General features: G+C 43.4%; 2 long non-coding RNA genes and 1 pseudogene across 6 annotated transcripts in view; 1 reads left to right on the forward strand and 2 right to left on the reverse strand.

Moving 5' to 3' along the window:
• The window catches only part of LOC102724497 (uncharacterized), a 39,767-nt gene extending 29,463 nt beyond the window's left edge, over nt 1–10,304 (forward strand). For 2 of the 3 annotated variants that reach the window (XR_001739541.2, XR_001739542.2), the window contains exon 3: nt 9,801–10,084. This is a non-coding gene — a long non-coding RNA (uncharacterized LOC102724497). Of the gene's footprint in view, nt 1–9,800 lie in introns of all 3 variants that reach the window. The other variant, XR_427047.5, reaches the window with a different exon arrangement.
• Nucleotides 5,412–19,441, reverse strand: part of LOC102724482 (uncharacterized) — a 28,584-nt gene continuing 14,554 nt past the window's right edge. For all 3 annotated transcript variants that reach the window (XR_427046.4, XR_940249.3, XR_940248.3), the window contains exons 2-3: nt 7,306–7,438; nt 5,412–5,815 (exon numbers count right to left, since the gene is read on the reverse strand). This is a non-coding gene — a long non-coding RNA (uncharacterized LOC102724482). The remainder of the gene's footprint in view (nt 5,816–7,305; nt 7,439–19,441) is intronic.
• Nucleotides 9,909–10,058, reverse strand: RPS28P5 (ribosomal protein S28 pseudogene 5; annotated as a pseudogene).

Consider the following 19,441-nt stretch of genomic DNA (forward strand, 5'->3'; position numbering starts at 1 on the left):
GGTTTGGGGCTTCTGCTGAAAAATGGGCACCTTTGGCCAGTTACCTCTGTGCAGAGGGTACATACTGCCCAGTCCAGCCAGAGCCCATTCCACCTGCTCTCCTCAACACAGTCAACAGCATTTGTGGCAACTTCTCTGACTACCCAGCCTCGTGGGGGCTAAGTCGTGCTCAAGAAACTTATCAGGAATTACATTTCTCAAATGTGATGCTGCAATCTGATCCAGTTTTATTTGTGCCACAAATGGATTGCCAAAGGATGTGAGGTTTTTGCACACTTAGGTGGATCTTGTTTTCCAGATGAGGCTATGAAAGCAGAGCTTCTATGCTGGGATCACTTGTTTCATGCTAGGCACTGACTGTTCTAAGTGTTTTAACTGCCACATCACCTCATGCACGAGGGAGCTACTAATATCCCCATTTCATGCATAGAGAGACTGAAGTACAGAAAGGTAAAGCAGCTTGCTCTATGTCACACAGCCAAGAAATGGTCATACTGGGATGGGAAACTGGTAGTCAGGCTCCAGGGAACTCCAATACATGCTGCTATACCAACCATCTGGACACATAAGAGCTAGTCTGTGTTCTCATTTGTGAAGGGACTGCCAGGAATCCCTGCCTGACAGGGAGCAAGGGAGAGAATGCACATGAAAGCACTTGGTAAGTTGCAATGTGCACCATAAATGTTAGCTGTTACTGATAATTATTATAACCTGCAGGTCAGGATTCTAGCTGGGGGCCTGTGGCCGAGGCTACCCAGCTTGTCATTCTCTCTCCAGCTACAGCTCGGGCTGCAAGAAGGGGAAAGGGTGTTATTAGCACCGATTCTTGGAATTCCAACGTGGTATGAATAAGGAATCAATTACAGGCTACACTGCAGGGTGGCCGCTGAGGTGTAGGGGCTGGTTTTCAACAGCACAAAGACAAGTTTATTCCAATACCACTTCCTCCACCACAGAGTTAAGCCCACCCATGGTCCCTGCTCCGTGCTGGGAGGTCTAGGCTTGCCCACTGCCGGGGAGAACAGGTGGATTCACACGCCCTCTCCCTGAGCCGTTCCCAGGGCATCCACGGACAGGTGTGCATTTTATGGACGGCACACAGGTGCTGACCAAGTAAGAAAGTGGGCGCTGGGATCTAGTGCAGGCTCTGTTCTCAAGTTATGTGCCCTGGTGTGGGCTGCACCTGCAGGAGGAAGTGGTGCCTTTCTGTTTGAACAAAGGTGTGCCTGTGTGCCTCTGGGGTGTGTACTCAACTGGTCTGCCCAAAGGAGGCACCATTTTTTGTTCATGCAAAGGCTCCACCTGGGCTAGTGGAGGCCGTGGTTGTGCACCTGAAGGAGGCAGACAACAGACTTCTTGCTGCTCAGGAACCCACCCTTACACCCAGCTCCTGATTCCTCATCGAGGCCTATGCTCTCCTCCTCTGCAGGCTCACAGTTCTGTCCAGTCCATATTCTGCCATGACTTTGTGTCATTCATTTCCCCCACCCCCCTACAACCTCTTCTGATCCATGACAAGGTGGCCTAGGGCCAACTCCAAGATCCAAGGCCTGAACCCCATTTGCTGTCCCTTTGGCCTCTGTCCTGGGTTCCTTTCCTGGTAATCTCCTAATACCCCCACCTCACTGCCTGTATCTACTAGTTCCCCAGCCACAGGCCAGAGAATTCTCCTAAATCCTGGAGCAAAACTGCAGATTCCTGGCTATAGATAACCTGCCTGACCAGACTTCCAAGTGCCACTATGATAATATTGCCTGATGCTGCACTCCACCCACCTGTGAGTCTAACCAGCCTGGTCCCCCACTGTTCACTGTTTGCTTCCACCAGAGCTGGGGATTGCCTGTGACTGTGACATCAGCCTGTCCTGCCTGGCTGAGTGTCTGGGATTAGGTTGGGCCAGCAGGTCACTTTCCTCAGGACCATCACACCCTAAGGGTGAAATTGGGCTTGCTTCAGACCTTCCTATCTTGTGACTGGACTGTCTTGTGATTGAATAAACTGTCGTGCTCAGACAAGTCCAGAGGGATGACACAGTGGAATGTTGTTCGTTACCTGGGTCTGTCTGAATATTCCCAGAACACAGAAGGTGCTCAATACATAGATTCTGAACCTTGTTGGCTGTCGCTGCTGCAGCCATTTTTACCTGAAAGGTGATTTAGAATTTCTGCAGGTGAATGTGGTGGTGGTTGCAGGGAGTTAAAAAATTCTCCCTCTTCCTACTGAGATGCACACATGCCCCCTTAGAGGTGTACCCTCTTGGAATCACTGCAGAGAGTTTCTTTGTTGACATTCACTCAGAAGTGACAAGCACATGTCTAGAGGAAGGGACAGGCTCCTCCATTTCTAACTTGCTTTCTGAACCATCTCTAATGATGTGCTTTTTTACTCCCATCAGCTTGGCTGACTGCCTTTGCTCAGCAGATAGTTTTGGGGATGGAGGTGGTTGCACCCCAAGCTTGCTATAAGCCTAGATTGGCTCTGCAGTCCCTAAGATTGAGCTGACCTGGGCTGGACACCCAGCATCCCTTATCCCCCTCCCCTAAACCCAAGTTGGCTGGTGATCCGGAGGCCAATGCTACCCTGGAAAGGGCCCCATTCCTCCCTGACAGAGGCCCAGGGAAGCCACCAGATCAGGTTGGACCAGCAGGCCCCTGAGAGGCACTGATGCCACTCTCCAGCCCAGAAGAGGCAGGTGCTGGTCCTGGAACATAAAGTCAAGCTTGGGGATGTCAGGGGCATTGGCTCCAACACCTCCCTGGCCCTCCCCTTACCCACAGGGGCTGACAGGGACAGAACCCATTATTCCTGTTAATACATGGTCTGGGAAGTGACAGGGCACATACGAGGACCAAGCCAGAGGGGAAGCCAGAAATCCTACTGCCTGGCACCCCCCTCTCCAAGTCTTTTTAGGAGCCATTCTAGGGCTTCGTGGGCAGCTGGGCTTCTCTGGTGATCTCAGCAGTCCAGGCTTGTGCAAGTCCCCCAAGCTCCCACCCACCTCCACCAGCCTGGTGGGGCCCTGACTCATTCCCGCCTGATTGGGCAACCAGCTTTTGGAGACTGACCTTGGAAATAGTAGCAGTGAGGCCGGCTGGAAGCTAACTGGGAACAGCATCCATAGGATTTATGCTGGCCTCAGCAAGGCAGTGTTTGGTGAAGTAGGAGACATTGGACTATACTGTCTTTCTTCCTCTCGGTCTCCCACCATGCCCCTCCTCCCATCCTCTGGAATCCTCCGGCCCATATGCTGCTGCCTTTCACTCCCTAGTGGTCAGATCTTCTACTTGGGGGTCCCCATCCAGGGCAATGCTCGCTGCTGAAGATCATCTGTCCAGCTCTCCTCTCCTCGGCTTCCCCACTAGACCCCATTCCTCCGAGCGTCCCTACTCCCCTCTGTGCACCCCTGGCCACATCTAATGCCCCTAACCCTCCTTGGGCCCCCACCCTTTCACCCGTCCCACCTTTCTGTGTATGTCCTCTTTTCTTCACCCCCATCCCTCTAGACACACACACCTTTTTTTGTGTGTTTTTTTTTTGTTTTGTTTTGTTTTGTTTTTTGAGACGGAGTCTCGCTCTGTCACCCAGGCTGGAGTGCAGTGGCACGATCTCGGCTCACTGCAACCACCACCTTCCAGGTTCAAGTGATTCTCCCACCTCAGCCTCCCAAGTAGCAGGGATTATAGGCGCTTGCCACCACGCCTGGCTAATTTTTGTATTTTTAGTAGAGACGGCGTTCCACTATGTTGGCCAGGCTGGTCTCAAAATCCTGACCTCAGGTGATCCGCTTGCCTCAGCCTCCCAAAGTGCTGGGATTACAGGTGTGAGCCACCGCGCCTGGCCACACACACCTTTTTTCGGCATTCTGATTTATTTCCTCTCAGGTAGCTGTTAGGTTGAAAAGGCACTGATAATCTAGGTCACTTTACTTGGAGAAGGAAATCATTGTTGTGTATTATCTTTCCTGGTAGCATCTGCATCCCTAACTGTAGGAAGAACTGAAAGAGGTCTACCATGGTAGGATTGCAGACATTAGGTGAACGGGAGAAATTTGCAGTTAGAAGAGTCTTCCTGTTCACTATCAAATCATGCCATATACTGAGGGAATTACCCAAATTGCTCAAGAGTGGCTCTTTCTTCTCTTCCTTTGGTCTCCATCTCTCCAGGCTTCTAAAACCCTGAGTTGTGGCGATGCATGTTTTAAAACGAGGTCCTACTGAAATATAGGCTAATGTGTTTGAGGTCTGGTAAAATGTTCAGAATGTTTATATGCACTCTGGTGTATCTTGGACTGTGCTTTTTTAATTCAGATGCTGTCTGATTTTTAAACGGATTGTGGGTGAAAAAGAAAAGAAGGGGAAAAGCAACAACTTTCTGTAAGCATAATAATGATATTTTAACTTGAAATTGATCAAGAAAGGGCTGGAAAACACTTTCTATGAATGCTTATTCAAATGTCCCAAAGAATCTTGATGAATTCTTATAAATGAATTTTATGATTACTCTGTAGTGAGCTGTGAAAGGAACACAGCTGCAGACAGAAAAACTAGGAATGTTGCTCTGGACTAGGTGATATATGCTAATGATCTGGACAGCCGTACCTAGCCACTTTGCCATAGAAAAGCTAAAGGATTACTGATATGTAATTTTTATAACTGTTCTGCTTCTATATTATTTGGGGGAAAAATGGGATTTTGCCAAAGGCTGACTTACACTGTGATATTCCTGAATGTGATGTGAATGTGTAATTGCAACTGGAATGTCCTGCCTGAAGGTAGTAGGGGGCCCATCGCCTGCATGCAACAGTGCCCTGGAATCCCAGCCCAGGATTTCAGCTCAGTCTGTGCAGCAGGCTGTCAGTTTAGGTTTTTGTCGACATCTGTGATCTGATGCTCAGATAGTCAGAGAATACCATGAAAGACACACGGGGGCCTGGAAATTGCCCTGTTTAACTGTTGGGACTACAGTTATCTCATTGCAGTGCCTGGTGTGTTTTCTGGGCCAGTTTTGATGTTTGAGTTGAGATGTTAGAGGTGGTTAGCATGGTGACTGTATAGGAAAAACACTCCTTTCCCCCCATATATTCTCAGATAATTATAAGAATTCCCCTCATAATTCTTCATTTATGACACCAGATATGTGAGCTCTTCTGACACCAACCAATTCTCCAACACTCCAGGATACCAACTGGGTGTCCTACAATTTAACTCAATTCTAACGCTATTTATAATTAATGCAGTCCCCACAGGTTAAGGGCTCAGTCCTACCAGATTGCCTCCTACTTCAGATGCCAATCAAAAGTAGTACATCCCCAGGTTACCCACTCTCCTGTCTGACTTGGCTACAAGTCGGGAGTTCCCACAACCTCCTCCCCAGGTTTGATAATTTGCTCTGACAAATTATACTCACAGAACTTGGAGAGAGACTTATGTTTATTGGCTTATTATAAAGGATATGATAATGAATACAGATGAACAGGCAAATGAAGAGGTACACAGGGTGAGGTCTGGAAGGGTCTGATTGCAGGAGCTTCTGTCTCCAGTGAGTCAGGGCACACCACCTTCCTGGCACATAGATGTGTTCACCAACCCAGGTCTCTGAACCCTGTACTTTGGCGACTTTTATTAGGCTTAATCAAGAAGGCATGAATGGTTATTAATTCAACCTCTAGCCCCTCTTCTTTCCTGGAGGATAGGGGTGGGGTGTGGCTGAAAGTTCCAAGCTTCTAATCACGGCTTGGGCTTTTTGGTGACCGGCTTCCACCCTGAAGCTGTCCAGGAGCCCATCAAGGGTTGCTTCTTTAGAATGAAAGATGCTCCTATCATCCATGAAATTCCAAGAGATTAAAAGAAAAAAAAAAAGAAATTCCAAGAGATTTAGTCCATAGCTTCCATCTCTAGGTTGCTCATGGTCTACATAGCTGTTGAAATCTAGGAATAACATTTGTGTTCTAGGCAGGAAGTAGAAGGAGGTGAGGAAGAGTAAAAAGGAAGGTGCAATCTCCAGCTGCCTGTGTCTCTTTAAAGAGTCTTTTTCTAGGCCAGGTGTGGTGGTTCACACATGTAGTCCCAGCACTTTGGGAGGCTGAGGTGGGCGGATCATGAGGTCAGGGGTTCGAGACCAGCCTGGCCAACATAGTGAAACCCTGTCTCTACTAAAAATACAAAAATTAGGCAGGCATGGTGGCGGGCACCTGTAGTCCCAGCTACTCAGGAGGCTGAGGCAGGAGAATCGCTTGAACTGGGGAGGCAGAGGTTGCAGTGAGCCAAGATTGTGCCACTGCACTCCAGCCTAGGCGACAGAGCGAGACTCCGTCTCGAAAAAAAAAAAAAAGAGTCTTTTTCTGTGCGCTATGCTCCCCCTAACAGCTTCTACTCATGTTTCCTTAGCTAAAATAATGTCACATGGCCACACTGTTTTAAAAGAGGCTGAAAAATGTGGTCATTCCTGATAAAGTTGGGGTTTTGTTACTCAGGAAGAACAGGAGAGTAGTACTGGGTAGGCAAACAGTCTGTAATTGTTGTCTAATTATATCTGACTCAAGAAGGTTGTGCTTTTGGGTAGTCTTGAATAGATATTTTTCTATGCTGAGGATTTGGGAGATGCTAAGTGAGCTGAAAAGTATCTGTATATATACAAAGTCCATGGATGAAACTGTAATCAGGTTTAAAAATTAATATGGCCCTTCAATCCCTTTACGAGTCCCTTGATCACTGATCTAATCTGTTTGGTCAGCTTTGAAAACAATGGCTGAGGGTAGTTCTGGTTTAAAATGGCACCTGATTAACAGCCTTTAATATAGCATCTCTCAGGCTGGGCGCGGTGGCTCACGCCTGTAATCCCAGCACTTCGGGAGGCCGAGGTGGGCGGATCACGAGGTCAGGAGATAGAGACCATCCTGGCTAACATAGTGAAACCCCGTTTCTACTAAAAATACAAAAAATTAGCTGGGCGTGATGGCGGGCGCCTGTAGTCCCAGCTATTCAGGAGGCTGAGGCAGGAGAATGGTGTGAACCCGGGAGGCGGAGCTTGCAGTGAGCCGAGATTGCGCCACTGCACTCCAGCCTGGGCGACAGAGCGAGACTCTGTCTCAAAAAACAAAAACAAAAACAAAAAAAAAAACCAGCATCTCTCAACTTTTCAATAAAATATCTAGGAAGCCATGGCAGGGAGTGGTGAGGAGAAAGCTCATAACCAGCCTCAAAACTAAATCTAATGGACAGTGCTGACCCAGAATTTCAGAGGAATCTTTAATGCAGATGAATGATGGTTAACTTCAATTCATGTGGCTCATGAAACAGAGCTTACCTGAAAACTCAAGACCATTCAGACATCACCACTGTTTAGCTCTTCACTCAAAGACCCAGCTGTCCCTCTGCTGTGGGTCCTGTGAACCAATCCATATTGATTCTCCTCCTCCTTCTTTGTTATTTGTTTGCATCTATTTAAAGACAGCAGAAATCCCCCAGAAGTTAACTAGAGAGTAAATAGTGGAGTTGGGGAGGTGCATGTACGTGTATAGACATTAAGGTAAGGAACCACAGTAGTACCCCTATCCTGGGTCATATAAGCCCTACAAGTAAAGAGCTGCTAGAGTGGGTATGGAGAGAAAAAGCTTTGTTGGAACCCGTCGGAACTATAGCTTTTCAAGAATCACGTTGGCTGAAAGTATGAGGTGCAGAGTTTAAATGGATGAATACCCAGCAGAAGTCAGGACTGGACTGCATGTTATGTACTCCAATCTGCTCTTCAGCTGTGTGGCTGAGAATGGAGTTTGACCTTCACACAAATAGAAATGGAGCTAGGGAAAAATCCACACACATAATTTGTTGTCAAATACTGAGTTAGATAGCATTCTCCTTTTAAAAATGTCTTAAACATGACTGAGAGGCAGTCTAGCATTGATACTCTGGAGCCAGACTGTCTGGGTTCAAATCCTGACTCCACCACTTACAGCTCTGTGACTATGGGCAAGTTACCTAATGTTGATGTCTCAGCATTTGTATTTGTAAAATGAGGTTAATAATGCTTCTTACTTCATAGAGTTGTTGTGAGATTGCATGAGTCAATACATAGAAATACTTGGAAGAGCACACAGTAAGCACTCAACAAGTGCAAGCTGTATTATGATGATGAAGATTATGATTTTAAAAATCATAAGATCATAAGAGAAAGAATCAATATAATATGAAACATATAAATAAATTACAGAAACAAAGGAATGGGAATAGCAGATTGAAGATTCAGAGACCAAATGTATTTTCAAAAATAATGTAAATGCAGGTTCTGAAGAAAATTTTAGGAGGCTGCTTGATATCCTCAGTAAAGTAAAAGAAGATGGGGTCTTTATGAAGCAGGACATAAAACCACAAAGAGATAGAATAAGATGGCAAAATATTAAAATGCACATTGAACCAATAAAGAACAGAATTGATAACACAGGAGAGGAAAGCAGAAATATGTGAAGAACAAGCTTGAAAAGTCCTCCAAGAATGCAGAAAGGGAAAAAAAAATCAAGTGAGAGAATAAATACAGAAAATAGAAAATCGAGACATGACTCAGAACAGAACAAATGGGATAGAAATAATTACTTAACTATGGTATAATATAAAAGAATATTTTCAGACTGCCAGAAAGAGCCTTATATATTGATTAAAAGTGATTTCCTCCTTTTGTATCAAGTCGATGGAAAGAGACTCACATTTAGGCACACCAGGCAAAATGAGCGAAGCATTCAGGCTGAGGAGGCAAGTTTAAAAATTAAACTGGCTGGCTGGGCGTGGTGGCTCTCGCCTGTAATCCCAGCACTTTCGGAGGCTGAGGTGGGTGGATCATGAGGTCGGGAGTTCAAGACCAGCCCAACCAACACGGTGAAACCCCATCTCTACTAAAAATACAAAAATTAGCCGGGTGTGGTGGTGTGCGCCTGTAATCCCAGCTACTCAGGAGGCTGAGGCAGAAGAATCGCTTGAACCTGAAAGGTGGAGGTTGAGCCAAGAGTGTGCCACTGCACTCCAGCCTGGGGGATAGAGCTAGACTCCATCTCAAAAAAAAAAAAAAAAAATTAGACTGGCTGTATATATCTCCTCTGTAATATTAAATGCTAACAAGAGATAAAAGCATAATTGTTTGCCAATGATATTATTATCCACCTGGAATATGTAACAGAAGCAGCAGAAAAAATTTCCAGGATTAATAAGCAAGTTCATTATCATGATCAGTTTAAAACTAATATTTGAAAGCAATAATTTTCTTATTTCCTAGCAATAAAAGTTTACTGGGGTGCTGGGAGACTGAATGACACCTTTGATAGACTCATGGAGCATGGACACAGGCGAAGGAAGCCTGACAAGCCCTCCTCTCTTTAGACTGAGACCCCAAAGGGTTGTCTGCACCCTAGGAGTAACGTTGAACCAGAAGTAAATAGACCTTCAGAGGGGGTGCAACTCAGCTTTACTTATCCAGTCTCTGAAGCTGGATTAAAGTGATCCCAGGGTATGAGTGTTTCCAGGCACATGGCAGAAGTAACATAAATTTGCCCTGGGAAAAAATACAATAGAGGTTTAATTCACCAGGAAGATATAACAACACTAAATATGTATGTATCTAATAATATTATTGTTTGAGCTAAGTAATAGCAAAAATACTGTGTATCCAAACTTGAGGGATGCAGATAAAACTTTTCCTACAGGAAAATATGTATGTAAATATTAATATATATGTATAATGTAACACTTATATATTGAATAATATGTAAATATATATATATTTTTTAACTTGAAACACAAACGCTTTATTTAAAGGCGCATCTCAATTCCGTGTGGCGGGCAAAAAATAAAGGAGCAGATTGTGACAGACCATTCCCATCGGCCATGCGGGCGAACCCAACGTCCTTTTACATTGAAGAACCCAACGGGGCCTTTTACATTGCGGATGATGGACCGGCTCGTGACGTCCATGAATTTCACGCGCACCTGTGTGCACTGTCCCTGAGAGCCGGTCCTGCCCAGGACCTTGGTGACCCTGGCCAGCTTGATAGGCTGCACACGGCTGGTGTTCATGATGGCGGCGCAGCGACGATGTGGCGGAGAGGTAAATATATATTATATAAATTAACTTAATATATAAAAATACATAAATATATAAAATGTGTATATATATATAAACAAGCTAAAGATGGGAGAAATTAGCTAGTAGTATCAAGATTTATTACAAAACTATAGCAATTAAGATTTTGTCATATTGGTTCAAGGATGGACAACTTTATCAATGAATTAAAATAATAAAACAGATATGTGAACCATTAATTATGTCAAAGGTGACACTATAGAGCACAGGTGAAAGGAATGTCTTATCAATGAATGTGTGGGGATATTTAGATACCCATTTGGAAAAAAATAAAGCTTGGCTTTCGCTTCATACATACACAAAAACAAAATGTAAATAAGTGATTCTTTTAAAGAAAAGGCAAAACAATAAAAGTCTTAGATGGTAATATAAAAGAATATCATCATGATCTCAGCATAAGGCAAGACTCCTCAAGTAGAACATAAAAAGCACTAACCATAAAGAAAAAGACTGACATATACAACTGTCTTAGTCCATTTTGTGCTGCTGTAACAGAATGCCACAGACGAGGTAATTTATGAAAAACAGAAATTTATTCTCTCACAGTTCTGGAGGTTGAGAAATCCAAGATCAAGTCACCAGCAGCTTGTGTGGGCCTTCTTATTGCCTTCCTACTGCATCCTTACACGGCAGAAGGCAGAAAGGGCAAGAGGCAAGAGAGAGTGAGTCTGCTCCCACCAGCACTTTTTTTTTTTTCTTTTTGAGACGGGTCTCACTCTATCACCAAGGCTGGAGTGCAGTGGTGTGATCATGACTCACCGCCATCTCTGCCTCTCAGGTTCAAGTGATCCTCCTACCTCAGCTTCCTGAATAGCTGGGACTGCCAGTGCATGCCACCATGCCCAGCTTATTATTTTTGTATTTTTTATTTTTTTGTTGAGACAGAGTTTCACCATGTTGCCCAGGCTGGTCTCGAACTCCTGAGCTCAAGTGGTCTGTCTGCCTTGGCCTCCCAAAGTGCTGGGATTACAGGCATCAGCCATTGCCCCGGCCCCCACAAGCATTTTTAAAGTGGCATTAATCTATTCATGAGGACAGAGTCTTCATGACCTAAACACTTCCCCAAAGATCCTACCTCCCAACACTGTTACATTGGGGATTAAGTTTCCAACATGCGAACTTTGGTGAGGAGGAACAAAAACATTCAAACCATAGCAATGACTATGTTAAAATAAAAACTTCTGTTCATCAAAAATAACATTAAGAAGTAAAAAAGAAGTCTGGGCTCGGTGGCTCACGCCTGTAATCCCAGCACTTTGGGAGGCCGAGGCAGGCAGGTCACTTGAGGTCAGGAGTTTGAGACCAGCCTGGCCAACATGGTGAAACCCTGTCTCTACTAAAAATACAAAAATTAGCCGGGTGTGATGGTGTGTGTCTGTAATCCCAGCTACTTGAAAGGCTGAGGCAGGAGAATTGCTTGAACCCAGGAGGCAGAGGTTGCAGTGAGCCAAGATCACACCATTGTACTCCAGCCTGGGTGACAAGAGAGAAACTCCATCTCAAAAAAAAAAAAAAAGAGGAAGTAAAAAAGAGAGCCACAGAGGAAGAAGGCATGCAAAACATTTGGCAAACAAAGGGCTTGTGTCTACAATATGTAAAGGTCCAGAGCTCACAGGATCTTAGGGTATGTTTATAATTTACTTTGGTAGATAATGACAGTTTTCTGAAATGGTTGTGCCAAGTTGTAACCTAAAATGCAAAGGCTGGAGCCAAAGTTTCAGTGAATGCAGATACATCACAAAAGCTGAGCTAAGTTAGCAATCTTGAGACAAGGGAAGAGCAGCTAGAGAAAACCTGGAAAACAATGAGGTGGAAATGGTAGTGGCAAAGCACAAGATAGAAATGAGGAAACTTACACAAGAAAATGAAAATAAAGGTTAAAACAGATTAAACAGAAAATGGTAGATGTAGAAAACAGTCAAAGGAGATCCAGCATAGGCATAATTGGCTTCCCTGGAAAAAAAGAGAAAATCAAAACAATGCAAAATAAAAAATATTTAAAATATAATAGAAGACAGGTGATTTCTTATAAAGTTAGATGTGCACTTACCAAATGACCTGGTAATTCTACCCACTCCTAGGTATTCACCAAGATAAAACATATGTCCACACAAAGACTTATATATGGGCTGGGCGCAGTGGCTCATGCTTGTAATTCCAGCACTTTGGGAGGCCGAGGTGGGCAGATCACGAGGTCAAGAGTTTGAGACCAGCCTGGTTAACATGGTGAAACCCCATCTCTACTAAAAATAGAAAAATTATCTGGGAGTGGTGGCACATGCCTGTAATTCCAGCTGCTCAGGAGGCTGAGACAGGAGAATTGCTTGAACCCAGGAGGCGGAGTTTGCAGTGAACTGAGATCGTGTCACTGCACCCCAGCCTGGGTGACAGAGCAAGACTCCATCTCAAAAAAAAAAAAAAAAATTCATATATGAGCACTCATAAAAGTTTTAGGAATTTGACAAAAATGGTTCCATAGCTCATTCAAAAGAATAGATTTTAAAATAATCAATAAGATTTAAAAAGTGATAATGAAAGAGCTTTCACTATCAACATTTAAATAATATTTTACAATTAAAGTTTTTAAAAATAAAATGTTATACTATTATAGAAATAGGCAAGCTGATCAGTAGAACAAAATAAATAGGCTGTAAACTTGTGTTTGTGTGTTTATAGCTAATAAGTGTGATGCTTAAATCAGTGGGAAAAAGTATTAACTATTTAATATAGAGAGCTAGTATAATTATTAGTGCCACATGTCAGGAGCTAATGAAACTTCTGCAAAGGACCAGCTAGTAAATATTTTAGGCTTTGTGGGCCATACCATCTCTGTTGCAACCACTTAACTCTGCCACTGTAGCATGAAAGCAGGTACAAATAACTATATTACATTCTAAGTAATTTTTAAAATTTCAAACCTCTGTTTTTAAACACTTGAAAATAATACACTGACAAATATGATGGCTTGCTTTTATGTAACTGGCACCTGATAGAATTAAAATTGACCCAAATAGGTCACCAAAAATATATTTTACCTGACAAATTAATTAACATGGGTTAGGGTCAGGATGCGAGGCAAAGAAACAGGAGAGTGCTTTGGACAATGAGAATTAAGTCACTGATCTCTCATTCTATATAGCAATTCTCCTGTCTTACAAACATGTCCTAGTGTCTCTCTCATCTTAAAAGCAAACAACAAAATCCTCTTTAGTCACTCTTTATCCCATTGGTATATCCATTTCTACAAAGCATCATTGCCTGAGTGTTCTTATGTATTAATATATATTTGTTTATTTATTATTTGCCTTTCTACTCTAGGAACTGTGATCCATGAGGGAAGGATTTTTCTCCCTTTCTTTCTTTTTTTTTTTATTTTTATACTTTAAGTTCTAGGGTACATGACACCATGTGCAGGTTTGTTACTTATGTATACATGTGCCATGTTGGTGTGCTGCACCCGTTAACTCGTCATTTACGTTAGGTATATCTCCTAATGCTATCCCTCCCCCCAATCCCACCCCACGACAGGCCCTGGTGTGTGATATTCCCTACCCTGTGTCCAAGTGTTCTCATTGTTCAATTCCCACCCATGAGTGAGAATATGTGGTGTTTGGTTTTCTGTCCTTGCGATAGTTTGCTCAGAATGATGGTTTCCAGCTTCATCCATGTCCCTACAAAGGACATGAACTCATCCTTTTTTATGGCTGCATAGTATTCCATGGTGTATATGTGCCACATTTTCTTAATCCAGTGTATCATTGATGGACATTTGGGTTGGTTCCAAGTCTTTGCTATTGTGAATAGTACCACAATAAACATACACGTGCATGTGTCTTTATAGCAGCATGATTTTTAAAGCATTTTTCTTTCTTCCTCACTGAAGGAGACATTTTCAATTTACATTCTGACCCATAGAAAATAGAAGGTTTCTAAATGAGCTTATTTTGTATCTGGCTGCCTAAAGAACTCTTCCTACCTATTCCTCCATTGAAGAATCACAAACAAGTGCCTTGGGAGGAGGCGCAAGTCTCAGGGATCCAGACCATAATCTCAGAGCTAGAATGTAAGGGTAAGAAAATATGAATGACCCTTTTGGGAGGGATTGCTAAAGAAGTAACATTCAGTAGTTGGACATTTGATTGTTCTATCAATTGCAGTCTGTCAGCTTTATGTCGAAGGCATACTCATATCTCTACAAGAGCCAATGAACTTCCCTGTCAGACCTTGCCACACACACTTTGGAAGAGGAGAGGGAAGAGCAGAAAGAAAGAGAAGAGGAGGAGGAAAAGAGGAGGAGCTTTGAGAGAGTTCAAAGTCAGGGAGACAAGCGGGCTACAGTGGTAGAATCAGTGAGGGATTAAAATCTTTCCTGCGTTAGTTCCTTTTTCCTGTTGATATTTCTTGAGATTCTTTCTTTTGAGCCCTCCTGGTACTTGGTCCTCTTCCTCTAGGGCAGTTCACTTAATGAAAGGCTCTCTGGCCTGGGGTAGGCCCTGGCCAACTATGCTCTAGAATGTAGAAAAATACACTATTAATTGAGCCAAGATTAAGTTTATCCCAGGATTAAGTTTAGGCCTGGATTTATTCTAGGCTTTGGGCTAGGAGATCCAAAAATTTCATTATGGTTCATGTTTAGCCGGCTGAGCTCACAATGTTTAGCAAATCCATGTGAGGATTTGGGCCCAAAGTCCTGTAGTGACAAACACTTTACATTTGCATATTTTTAAAGGAGCTCATGGAAGAGATGAGTAGCCGACCATAACTTTGGGGATTTGGTGTTATAGGAATTGCTCCCTCACTTGCTACGGGGAAAAATGAATACTATATGACCATAATAGTTTGCTGAAAATTGTCTCTGCTATTCCTGCCAAAAATGGATGGAGAAGATTATTTGAGAGAAGAAAATATGAAAATGGATCCCCTTGAAGAAATATGAGAGAAGGAAGCTAATCCTTGGTGACAGAATAAGAGACACTCAAACTGACATTAAGAACACACAAGTAGTCCAGAGAGTGGAAAAATAGCTAAACTTATATGAAGGTGCTTGATACAAGGGTATGTCATGTTCTGAGGCCTGACCTTTCCTGAGAAGCTGACAGGCATGGCATTTATGATGGAAAAACAACCCTGGAGGCACAGAAAAGCTGATGGCCACAGACTGCAAAGGGATCAATTAGAGAGAAAACTGCTCTCTGGTACAGAAAGAGTGTTTAGAAGAGAAATGGGCATCTTGGTGTTGCTGTAATTATCCCCTCTCTTTTCTGAGTCACCAATTTCTCATTCTGTGCAGCAATTCTGCTGTTTTACAAACATGTCATAATGTCTCATCTTAAAAACAAACAACAAAATCCTTTTTAGTCACTCTTTATCCCATTGGTATGTCCATTTCTTCAAAACACTATTACCTCTTATGTATGTATTTGTTTGTTTATTGTTTGCCTTCCTGTTGTAGGAACTCTGATCCATGAAGGCAGGATCTTTTTTTTCTTCTTCACTGCTATTTTGTCCTAGAATAGTATTTGGCACATAGCTGGGGCTCAATACATATTTCTTGATTGAATACAAGAAGTTGAGTGGCATGAAGATATGGGATATAGTCATCCAGGTAGAAACAGATTTCTTTCAAAGGTAATTGTAGTTTCCAAGGACAGATACACTGGGCTGACCTCTGACCCTAGGAGTAATAGAAATAGCAATTCCATAATCCAGTTGGTTATAGACCAGGAATGACAAACACATGGCATGCATGTTGCCGCTTCCCCATTCTGCTTTCAGGACAGACATCATTAATCTATCACAGCACTTGTTCCTGAAGAGAGTGGTTACTGCCTCCCTGATTACTGAATCCATAGCACAAATGGAAGGATAAAATTTTGCATGGAAAGATAGGTTTTGGAGATCCTATCAATATGAAAGGCCTAGGTTCTTCTATAAATAATGTTGCTTGACCATTAATTCCAGAGTGTGACTATGGAAAAGGAGGAATAGTTGCATGGCTTTAGTTTTGTCTTTTCTAAACAACCTAAATGACACCACAGTTCAATCACCCCACATGTATCGATCAAGGGGACCAATTGGAGAGCTCAGCATTTAGCCAGGGACAGATGCCAAAATTCAGCCAAGAAAACCTGCCAAAAAAAAAAGTAATGTCCAAAAGCACAGGACAGAGACATGCTCTACTGGCCATGACTGGGAGCTGTAACTCACCTTCTCAGAGAGCTCCAGGGAAGTGCCTGGACAGGACACTGAGAATGAAAGAAAAGCACGGGTGAGACCAAAACAGGGGCAACTCTTACCCTATTTCTGAATATTTTTTATGGGGAAGGAGGCAAAGAGGATGAGGGTAATGGGGGATGTTGCCTTTTATTAAAGTGCGGGTGGAACGAATACTTGACTTGTAAAGTTGGGACTTACTACAACTAGCACAAAATCAATAAGAAAGGAGAGTCAACAAGTATTTACAAAGCCTTCAATGGCCTGCATGGGGATCAGTGCCAAGAAACAGTCTTTGCCATGGCTCTGCCTCCTCCTTGACCCAAAGTACCACTCTTTATTATGCAACTGGCACACGAATTGCCTCCAGAACATGAGAACACTACTCATGGCCAGTGTGGGGAACTCAGGCCAAGACACAGCCTTCTGCCCAAGGAAGTGGTCTGAAGTAACTTTGCAGAATTCTTGTCAAGATAGTTAACATTGTCAAGCAAACAAACAAATAAAACCGCTGAGTAGAAGCCAATTCTCCATGTGCTTAGACTCCCTGTTCTTGTCCCTGCTCCTGACCTCACAATGAGCATGGGGCCCTGAGATGACCTCCAAGAGAGGCTAGGAAAAGGGTTTGGCTAGACGTTGGTCAGATTCTGCCCTCTCCCTCCAGGAGAGGAAGAATCAGTCTGAAGCAGGACCACATGAGACCAAGAAAATGGGTTTGTGTGTCTCCTCTGGGACTGGCACTGGATTCACAAAGGAGATGAAGGATAGAAGTAGGGGGAGGTGGCTAGGCGTGGTGGCTCACACCTGTAATCCCAGTACTTTGGGAGGCCGAGGCGGGCGGATCACAAGGTCAGGAGTTCGAGACCAGCCTGACCAACATGGTTAAACCCTGTCTCTAATGAAAATATAAAAATTAGCTGGGCATGGTGGTTGCGCCCGTAATCCCAGCTACTCAGGAGGCTGACGCAGGAGAATCGCTTGAACCTGGGAGGTGTAGGTTGCAGTGAGCCGAGATTGCGCCATTGCACTACAGCCTGGGTGACAGAGTGAGACTCCATCTCAAAACAAAAACAACAACAACAACAAAAAAAAAAAAAAAAAGGAGGAGGAGGTATCAAGAGAGATCTGTTTGCTCAGGAGAATCTGTGTGGGAGCTGAGTCAGTCCTCAGATTGCAATGGGATAGGAATAATGCCTTCCAGATCTTCTCACCTGGATCACTTCCCCATCGTCCTCCATCTCACCTGTTGTCCTTCTCCCCTTCTCCCTTTCTCAATTTTCTCTGCCCTTCAGTGTCTCAGGTGTCTGTATTCTTCAAGAAGCCATGCCCTGTCCCTAATTTCCCCTCCACCCATTACATCGTCATTTCCCACACCCAAACTGCTTGGGCCACATTGTCTACAATGGCCACCTCCTCGTAACATCCAGATTTCCAGACACTGTGCAAGGCAACTTATAGACCTTGCTGCCTTTAGTCCTCCTGACAACACCAACAATGTCTCAGTGAGCCAGCCATTATCTGCCTCGTGTTAGGAAGCTCAGAGATGTTGAGTCCCTTTCTGGAGGTCAGAAATTTTAAGTGCTAGAGTTGAGATTCAAACCTAGCAGTGTCTGCTCTTAATCTCTAGAGGTTTTCTAAAGTGTGAAACTTAGAAGACAAGAGTTCTATGAGATTTAAAAAGGAATACCATAGAAGAATTGGAAAAAATTATACTTTACAAATAAACATTATGTACTTGGTCTTGTTATTATGAAAAAAAACCCTGCCTCTAAACATGGCGAGATATATCTTGCACTACCAGTATTTCCTGATGGGGCTGCTGTTGGCCTTTTAGTCCAAGCCCACACACTGTAGAGTGTTTAGTATCTGTGGTCCTGTCAGCCAAAGGCCAGTGGGGTCCTCAGTGTGCACCTAAAAGTGCTCCACATGTGTAAATGTCCCCTGAGATATGAATGTTACTACCTTCAGTTGAAGGTAACTAACCCTGGAATGTAATGACCATAACGTCAGGGACTGTGTCTTTCTTACTCAGCATTGCAGCCCCAACATATAGCTCGTAGTAGGCCTTTAGTAGATATTAGAAAGTCATCTAATGCATGTGTAATGTGTAATTATTGATAATAGGCAGTATTTAACCATTACCTAGGATGTTATCTGATATGATCTCAATGACCATCTTGCCTATACAGTTTTAACATGTCTGCAATATTATTCAATGTTCATTATGTATTAGACACATGAATCAAATTTTGGTCATTTCTTGCAGCAATTAAATTATCAGGTTACTTTATTTCAAGCATGAAGCTTTCTATCTCCTGAGCTCCTTGATGAAAACTTGACTTATAAAGCTAAGACTTCCTATAACTAGCACAAAATCAATAAGCAAGGAGAGTTAACAAGTATTTACAAAGCCTTCAGTGGCCTGCATGATCCCCATGTCTGTTGTTTCCCTGTCTGTATACCCTAAATTATAATAGTGCTTCATTTTAAATGTTTGGGCTAAGATGCCTATGGACAGTTACCAATCAACACAAAGAAGCATCCGGCTGTCTCACCCTTTGTTGCTTTTGATTCTCTCTCATGAACAGTTCTGAGACCTCCACTGTCCTCTTGTTATTTTTATTCCTAATGGTGATACTTCTCCTACTTGCTTCCTCCGACTGTCTACCTTGTCATGTTGACTCCTTCCTTCAGGAATGCTCTTCTCAAATCTGAAGATACAATCTGAATAGAAAAATAGGTGTGGACCACTGGTGGCCACTTATGTGCCTACATGTCTGTAGTCATTCATTTTCAATCTTGAGTGAAGACACAAAGGTCTATGTCAGCCAGCCCCTAGCTGGAGTTTCCTTTGTCTAGTTCTGCATCTGCCTCCCAAGAATCTATTCTTTTTGCTCTTCTCACTCCCTCACCCTCTCCCTGGTATCAGTGTCTCTGATATAGACACAGGAATAGGCATTTATGGAAGATCAGAAGGGGAGAGGAGTGCAGTTCTGGTCCCAGAGCTACCCAGCAGGGAGGAACAGGCCTTGTGGGGGCTGACCTGACTTAGCCAGAGAGGCATCAGGCTGCCAGGAAAATGAGGGTTGCAGCCATCTGGGGA

This window comes from Homo sapiens, chromosome 2 (assembly GCF_000001405.40).
Source record: "Homo sapiens chromosome 2, GRCh38.p14 Primary Assembly".
NCBI classification, from domain to species: domain Eukaryota; kingdom Metazoa; phylum Chordata; class Mammalia; order Primates; family Hominidae; genus Homo; species Homo sapiens.